Below are 8,666 nucleotides of genomic sequence, written 5' to 3'. Positions count from 1 at the left end.
CCTCACCCGAGGTCTCCCAGTCGCGAGCCCAGAGCCGAGAGAAAGCGCCCCAGAATGGCCCCAGCTGATTCCGGCCCCCATCGGGACCCTCCAACGCGCACCGCTCCCCTCCCGATGCCCGAGGGCCCTGAGCCCGCTGTGCCCGGGGAGCAACCCGGAAGAGGCCACGCTCACGCCGCTCAGGGCGGGCCTCTGCTGGGTCAAGGCTGCCAGGGCCAACCCCAGGGGGAAGCGGTGGGGAGCCACAGCAAGGGGCACAAATCGTCCCGCGGGGCTTCGGCTCAGAAATCGCCTCCTGTCCAGGAAAGCCAGTCAGAGAGGCTGCAGGCGGCCGGCGCTGATTCCGCCGGGCCGAAAACGGTGCCCAGCCATGTCTTCTCGGAGCTCTGGGACCCCTCAGAGGCCTGGATGCAGGCCAACTACGATCTGCTGTCCGCTTTTGAGGCCATGACCTCCCAGGCAAACCCAGAAGCACTCTCCGCGCCAACGCTCCAGGAGGAAGCTGCTTTCCCTGGACGCAGAGTGAACGCTAAGATGCCGGTGTACTCGGGCTCCAGGCCTGCCTGCCAGCTCCAGGTGCCGACGCTGCGCCAGCAGTGCCTCCGGGTGCCTAGGAACAATCCGGACGCCCTCGGCGACGTGGAAGGGGTCCCCTACTCGGTTCTTGAACCCGTTCTGGAAGGGTGGACGCCCGATCAGCCGTACCGCACAGAGAAAGACAATGCCGCACTCGCTCGAGAGACAGATGAATTATGGAGGATTCATTGCCTCCAGGACTTCAAGGAAGAAAAGCCACAGGAGCACGAGTCTTGGCGGGAGCTGTACCTGCGGCTTCGGGACGCCCGAGAGCAGCGGCTGCGAGTAGTGACCACGAAAATCCGATCCGCACGTGAAAACAAACCCAGCGGCCGACAGACAAAGATGATCTGTTTCAACTCTGTGGCCAAGACGCCTTATGATGCTTCCAGGAGGCAAGAGAAGTCTGCAGGAGCCGCTGACCCCGGAAATGGAGAGATGGAGCCAGCCCCCAAGCCCGCAGGAAGCAGCCAGGCTCCCTCCGGCCTCGGGGACGGCGACGGCGGCAGCGTGAGCGGCGGCGGCAGCAGCAACCGGCACGCGGCGCCCGCGGACAAAACCCGAAAACAGGCTGCCAAGAAAGTGGCCCCGCTGATGGCCAAGGCAATTCGAGACTACAAGGGAAGATTCTCCCGACGATAAACTCAGGACTTGCCTTACGGATAAAATCTGGGGGGAGGAGGGCCAATGCAAAGTCAATGCGGGTTGGGGAACGAAACTTGCGACGGACACCAGAACCCTTGGCTTGGTGCAAAGTTGAGCCTCCGAATCCTGCAGGTGTCAAGTGCTGGCCCTGTGATTTTTGCCTCCCACACCCAGCCACTGCCTCCCTGCTTGGAGGACACCTCAGAATTCAGAAGATATTATGAACGCATTCGGATCAATTCTACTTTGGTGGTTCACTGATCGTCTTTTAAATAACGCCCTAGTTGCAATCATAAATCAGGTACAAGATGTGAGATTCCCTTTTGTCTTTTCTCCTTTCTTTTGAAATCATCCAGTGCATAAGGAAGGACTTCTTAGACACAAACTCTCAATCCACCAGTTGACACTGATAACTCCGACTACGCAAAATGTTTTGTTGCTGTTGGTGTTTTCTTTTAGGGAAAAGGCCGGGCATGATCCTGTAATCGTCGGCCATCCTCCTCTGGGAGGCCGAGGAAAGCAGATCGCTGCAGCCCAGGAGGTGGAGAACAGGCTGGGCCAAACGGAGAAACCCCGTCTCCACAAAAGATACCAAAATGAGCCCGGCGTGGTGGCACGGCCCCTGTGGTCCCAGCTTCTTAGAGGGCTGAGGTGGCAGGATCGCCTGAGCTGGGCAAGCGGAGGCTGCAGTGACCCTTCCTCATTCCACTGCACTCCAGCCTGGGTGACACAAGCGGAGCACATCTCAAAGAAACCTGCTGTTTATCTGAAGAAAGGAACTCCTGGATTTCATACATAAATGCTAACAACTGCTACGTTCCTTAAGTCAAAATACTTTTACTAAGCACGGCAAAGAATCAATCCCAATCTTTTCAGCCAGAACCCCTGTGAAAGAATGGCGACACCTCAATCAGCTTCTTTAGGTTCTCGATCAGGAAGTCTAAACCTGCCAAGCAGAGTTTCTAATTACCATGAGATGACCGGGTTAACTACCTTGAGTTCACCTCCTACGAGCTCCTGCAAGCTTTGGTGAAAGTTTGCATTCTAACTCAGGGCATTTGTTGGCTTCACGCGGGCTGGTAATCACAGGTCCGTGTGCCAGATACGACACACACACATACACACAAAGAAAGACACGCACACACACACGCACACGCACACATGAGCACGCACACGGACGCGCGCGCGCACACACACACACACACACACACACCATTAAGTAAACTTGGTTCTTAGGCGTTACCGACAGTGAGGGATAGAGAGAGAAATAGAAAGACCTAAGCCGCAAGGCAAAACCCAGCAAGGGCAGCAGAAGAGATCAAAGTCCTGTGCCCTTGGCTGTCAGCAGAGTGGGTGCTGGGAAGCTTCTGGAAGCAGGCACCTGAGTGGATGCCGGTGCACGTGAAAAGAGGCCTTCAAGCCTGAAGAACACGTAAGGAGCCAGAACAGGGTGCCACAGAGATACTACCCTTAAGGAAGACAGAAAAGCATTCGTTCCGGGGAAGGGGACATAATCCAATCAGCGACCCTGTGAAACTCAGACATGTCCGGGCACGGTGACTCACGCCTCTATTCCCATCGCTTTGGGAGGTCGAGGCCGGCGGACCCCCTGACGTCCGGAGTTGCAGACCAGCCTGACCAACATGAGGAAATCCCGTCTCTTCTAAAAAGACGAAACTCGGTTGGGCTTGCTGGCGAGCGCCTGTAATCCCAGCTACTCAGGGGGCTGAGACGGGAGAATCGCTTGAACCCGGGAGGCCGAGTTTGCAGTGAGCCCAGATGCCACCATTGCACTCCAGCCTGGACAACAAAAGCCAAACTCCGTCTCAAATTAAAAAAACAAAACCTCAGAAAAGCTTCCCCAGCGAGGGCCAGAGACAACGCCGGTCTCTATTTCTTGACAGCAATTCAAGAGAGAATCTCGGGTGGCTTGCAAAACTCACAAGAGAGCAGAATATCCTCCCCGAGGCAGAGAAGCCACACGCTCTTTCTGGAGGTGGAGTAGCCACCGATCACCGTGCAGCCCCTCCCCACTCCCAGCCAGAAACCCCAGCCCCTCGGAACCAAATCCACTGGCAACAACCTTTCTTCCTGGAAAACCTTTCCCCTGCCAAAATGGAAAACAAACATGACACAAGCAAACGCATCTCAAAACACAAACACAAGGAAACAATCCGAGCAAGCTCTAGCCCCTCATAGCTCATCGATGCCCCCACTGGCATGCTACTGAAAACAGCGGCTGCACCCATTAAACTCATTCATTACTGGAGAACGAGACAAACCTTAGCAGATCCCTGCTCCCACAGCGACAATCCCGCTCGAAAACACAGAAAGGAAACAACCCCCGCACAAAATATAAATCTACCCCAGATAGAATTCAGCATCAACCTAAGGATCCTGCTGTAACATTACTACACTGACCCAGGACAGCTCAATTCTCCTCCCACCTATTTACAAGATAAACCTCATTCAGGGAGCTCTGGAGGCATCGCCAGTATTGCACTACGATCCTCTTCGTGAGGCAGCTGGAAGTCTGGAAACACAGCAAATTTACTTATTTCTCTGCACAACACGGAGGGTAATTCTCAGAAAAGGCTTAACACCCGAATCCCCATTCCCCGATTCTCAGGCTATAACGATTATCTTTCTGCAGAAGAGACACACACACACACACACACACACACACACACACACACACACACACACTGAGAGAGAGAGAGAGAAAGTCATGTGAGAATGTAAACATTACGCGAAATCGCCGCCGACAGCAGAAACAATAGCCGACACCATAGACACTTCAAATGGTTCTGTTTTCCTCATTTGGACTGAAAGGTGAGAGTGGAACTCGGCTGCCCAAACCGTGGCACCAGTATCAGCTGCAGGCCAGAGCAAGCCTTTCCGAGGAGATTTTAAACAACCGGTGGGAGCAAGATCCTGAAGCATTTCTTCCAAGATTGGTCACAGGAGATGAAACCTGGCTCTACCGGCAGGATCCTGAAGACCAAGCACGAAGCCATGGCTACCAAGAGGTGGCAGTGCTCCAGTCGAAGCTGCAGAGGAGCAGTCAAGAGCAGAGGTCATGGCCACCGTTGGGGGCGGGGGGGGGGGGGCGGGGATGCTAGAGGGATTCTGCTGGTTGACTTTCTGCAGGGCCAAACCCTGATCACATCTGCTCGCTAGCAGAGCGTTTTCAGAAAGTTAGCCAAAGCTGGAGCGAAGAAGGTCCCCACCAGAGACTTCTTCTCCACCACGACAGTGTTCCTGATCATGCCTTTCTTCGAACAAGGGCAGCTGGGCAAGACTTGCCATGGGAAACCGTGAGGCGTCCACCTGACAATCCTGATTTGGCGCCTGCTGACTTCTCTTTGTTTCCTTGTCTTGGAAAACCTGTAAGGGGCACCCAGTTTTCTTCAGTTAACAATGGAAAAAAGATTGCATGGAAATAGTTAAATTCCCAGGACCCTGGGGGCTTTAAGGGATGGGCTAGACGGCGGGGAAAAGACACTGCTTCCAGAAGGGTCTTGATGCTGATGGAGCCGAGGTTGAGGAGTAAAATACGCCTGTTTCCTCTCTCTCCCTTAATCCCACTTTTCTACCAATGTTTCCAAGTCCCCTCACACAACGTCAATCCCAGGTAAAGAGTTGTCATCCTCTGTTGGTTCTTCTTCCTACGATTCTGTCTTGCGGTGTTGTTATTTTCGCTTTTACTCCCAAGAAGATTCTCTCTGTGTCTTTTGGAATCCACAGATGTGGAAGCTGGGTACATGGAGGGCCAACGGTAGAACTCAGTGGGGTGTGTCCAGGCTGCAATTAACCTAATGACCCCGCGGGGCACAGCAGTCCACCTGGCGTGGACCGCCCCGATTGGCTGCGTTGGGCTGACGGAATGAATTCCTATCGGGGCGGGGCAGCCCAGGGGCCCAGGGGGGTCAGGGCTTGAGCCCTGGGTGGGCCCGGGGCTGGCTATATAAGGCCGGGCTCTGGCAGCGGAGCTTCACTCCGCCTTGGACGGCGCACCGCACAGGTCACACTCCAGGCTGCGGCCGCACATCCCGAGGAACAGAAGCGGGCCTGCTCAGCTGTCTGCAAGGACCGGCGTTCCAGACCAAGTGGCCCGCTGCTCCGAGGACCCAGCTCGCTCCAGGCTGTGACTCCACATCCCGAGGTCGCCGCCTGGCGACCGGGCAGCGAGGACCGGCCACCCCAGACTGCCTGTGCCGCCGCCCCGAGCTCGGACAGAGCCGCGACCGCGAGGACAGCGACGCCTGCACAGCTCTGGCGAGATGGCGGCAGGGTCCACTACGCTGCGCGCAGTGGGGAAGCTGCAGGTGCGTCTGGCCACTAAGACGGAGCCGAAAAAGCTAGAGAAATATTTGCAGAAACTCTCCGCCTTGCCCATGACCGCAGACATCCTGGCGGAGACTGGAATCAGAAAGACGGTGAAGCGCCTGCGGAAGCACCAGCACGTGGGCGACTTTGCCAGAGACTTAGCGGCCCGGTGGAAGAAGCTGGTGCTCGTGGACCGAAACACCGGGCCTGACCCGCAGGACCCTGAGGAGAGCGCTTCCCGACAGCGCTTCGGGGAGGCTCTTCAGGAGCGGGAAAAGGCCTGGGGCTTCCCAGAAAACGCGACGGCCCCCAGGAGCCCATCTCACAGCCCTGAGCACAGACGGACAGCACGCAGAACACCTCCGGGGCAACAGAGACCTCACCCGAGGTCTCCCAGTCGCGAGCCCAGAGCCGAGAGAAAGCGCCCCAGAATGGCCCCAGCTGATTCCGGCCCCCATCGGGACCCTCCAACGCGCACCGCTCCCCTCCCGATGCCCGAGGGCCCTGAGCCCGCTGTGCCCGGGGAGCAACCCGGAAGAGGCCACGCTCACGCCGCTCAGGGCGGGCCTCTGCTGGGTCAAGGCTGCCAGGGCCAACCCCAGGGGGAAGCGGTGGGGAGCCACAGCAAGGGGCACAAATCGTCCCGCGGGGCTTCGGCTCAGAAATCGCCTCCTGTCCAGGAAAGCCAGTCAGAGAGGCTGCAGGCGGCCGTCGCTGATTCCGCCGGGCCGAAAACGGTGCCCAGCCATGTCTTCTCGGAGCTCTGGGACCCCTCAGAGGCCTGGATGCAGGCCAACTACGATCTGCTGTCCGCTTTTGAGGCCATGACCTCCCAGGCAAACCCAGAAGCACTCTCCGCGCCAACGCTCCAGGAGGAAGCTGCTTTCCCTGGACGCAGAGTGAACGCTAAGATGCCGGTGTACTCGGGCTCCAGGCCTGCCTGCCAGCTCCAGGTGCCGACGCTGCGCCAGCAGTGCCTCCGGGTGCCTAGGAACAATCCGGACGCCCTCGGCGACGTGGAAGGGGTCCCCTACTCGGCTCTTGAACCCGTTCTGGAAGGGTGGACGCCCGATCAGCCGTACCGCACAGAGAAAGACAATGCCGCACTCGCTCGAGAGACAGATGAATTATGGAGGATTCATTGCCTCCAGGACTTCAAGGAAGAAAAGCCACAGGAGCACGAGTCTTGGCGGGAGCTGTACCTGCGGCTTCGGGACGCCCGAGAGCAGCGGCTGCGAGTAGTGACCACGAAAATCCGATCCGCACGTGAAAACAAACCCAGCGGCCGACAGACAAAGATGATCTGTTTCAACTCTGTGGCCAAGACGCCTTATGATGCTTCCAGGAGGCAAGAGAAGTCTGCAGGAGCCGCTGACCCCGGAAATGGAGAGATGGAGCCAGCCCCCAAGCCCGCAGGAAGCAGCCAGGCTCCCTCCGGCCTCGGGGACGGCGACGGCGGCAGCGTGAGCGGCGGCGGCAGCAGCAACCGGCACGCGGCGCCCGCGGACAAAACCCGAAAACAGGCTGCCAAGAAAGTGGCCCCGCTGATGGCCAAGGCAATTCGAGACTACAAGGGAAGATTCTCCCGACGATAAACTCAGGACTTGCCTTACGGATAAAATCTGGGGGGAGGAGGGCCAATGCAAAGTCAATGCGGGTTGGGGAACGAAACTTGCGACGGACACCAGAACCCTTGGCTTGGTGCAAAGTTGAGCCTCCGAATCCTGCAGGTGTCAAGTGCTGGCCCTGTGATTTTTGCCTCCCACACCCAGCCACTGCCTCCCTGCTTGGAGGACACCTCAGAATTCAGAAGATATTATGAACGCATTCGGATCAATTCTACTTTGGTGGTTCACTGATCGTCTTTTAAATAACGCCCTAGTTGCAATCATAAATCAGGTACAAGATGTGAGATTCCCTTTTGTCTTTTCTCCTTTCTTTTGAAATCATCCAGTGCATAAGGAAGGACTTCTTAGACACAAACTCTCAATCCACCAGTTGACACTGATAACTCCGACTACGCAAAATGTTTTGTTGCTGTTGGTGTTTTCTTTTAGGGAAAAGGCCGGGCATGATCCTGTAATCGTCGGCCATCCTCCTCTGGGAGGCCGAGGAAAGCAGATCGCTGCAGCCCAGGAGGTGGAGAACAGGCTGGGCCAAACGGAGAAACCCCGTCTCCACAAAAGATACCAAAATGAGCCCGGCGTGGTGGCACGGCCCCTGTGGTCCCAGCTTCTTAGAGGGCTGAGCCAAAATCCTATTTGCTCAAGTGGCTGAAAATAGTGCCAGCAGCCTATGCATTTCCTCATATTATATTTTTGGAAGGACTAACATACAAGACCAGTAGACTTAGAAAGGAAAAATGTTAATGCCTGAAGATAACTGTAGCTCTTTCCGCAGACTCCCTGAAATTCAAGTGTGTAGCTCTTAAAAACTTATATTCTTAGTAGCAAACCCCCATCTACATTCTCAATCATATCATACGGTTGCAGGCCCTCCTAAAAATAATCACTGACAAAACTGGCAGTGTTTTGACTTTTTTACCTAGCAGAAAGCCCAAATCAAAAATGCCATTTATCAAAATAGACTGGCCTTGGACTATTTTCTCTCACCTGAATATCAGGTCTGTGAAAAATTCAACTTGAGCAATTGCTGTCTGCCAATAGATTTTCAAAAATTGGTGGTCAAAAATATGGTCAGGGATGTGACAACGTTGGCACATATGCCTGTATAGGTTTGGCAGAGGTTTAATCCTATGTCTGTATTTGAAAAATGTCTTTCAGCTAGGGGAGAATTTAAAACCCTCATTGTAAGTTTATTGCTAGTAATAGGAAGTTGCTTGCTCTTCCCCTGTGTATTACCCTTGCTCCTACAAATGATAAAAGTTTTTGTTGCTACCTTTGTTTATCAGAAAACTTCAACACAAGTGTATTACATGAATCGCTGTCACTCTATCATGTACAGAGACTTAAAAACTGATGATGAAAGTGAGAACTCCCCATAATAAGTGAGATTCTCTACAGGGGAAATGAGGTGGGGACCACCACTTCTCCTGCTACCCACCCCCACCCCCACCGCCCCTGCCACCTTGCCTAGTTTTTAAGACGTGAGGAAAG

General features: G+C 55.1%; 1 protein-coding gene and 1 pseudogene across 23 annotated transcripts in view, besides 2 other annotated features; one reads left to right on the top strand and one right to left on the bottom strand.

The window, feature by feature from the left end:
- Positions 1–8,666, bottom strand: part of KATNAL2 (katanin catalytic subunit A1 like 2) — a 184,650-nt gene that overhangs the window by 132,331 nt on the left and 43,653 nt on the right. The window lies entirely within an intron of this gene.
- Positions 2,380–2,879: an enhancer, noted in NCBI's record as "H3K4me1 hESC enhancer chr18:44546997-44547496 (GRCh37/hg19 assembly coordinates)". NCBI's record gives its function as "activates a minimal SCP1, AML or CMV promoter by ChIP-STARR-seq in primed H9 embryonic stem cells {active_cell/tissue: H9 hESC(primed)}" and the evidence as "EXISTENCE:reporter gene assay evidence [ECO:0000049][PMID:30033119]".
- Positions 2,456–2,656: a silencer, noted in NCBI's record as "peak3136 fragment used in MPRA reporter construct". NCBI's record gives its function as "represses an SCP1 promoter by STARR-seq MPRAs in K562 erythroleukemia cells {active_cell/tissue: K562}" and the evidence as "EXISTENCE:reporter gene assay evidence [ECO:0000049][PMID:32103011]".
- ELOA3DP (elongin A3 family member D, pseudogene) lies at positions 5,405–7,245 on the top strand (annotated as a pseudogene).

Source organism: Homo sapiens, chromosome 18 (assembly GCF_000001405.40).
Source record: "Homo sapiens chromosome 18, GRCh38.p14 Primary Assembly".
In the NCBI taxonomy this organism is placed as follows: domain Eukaryota; kingdom Metazoa; phylum Chordata; class Mammalia; order Primates; family Hominidae; genus Homo; species Homo sapiens.
This window is presented reverse-complemented; position numbering and strand designations above follow the sequence as displayed.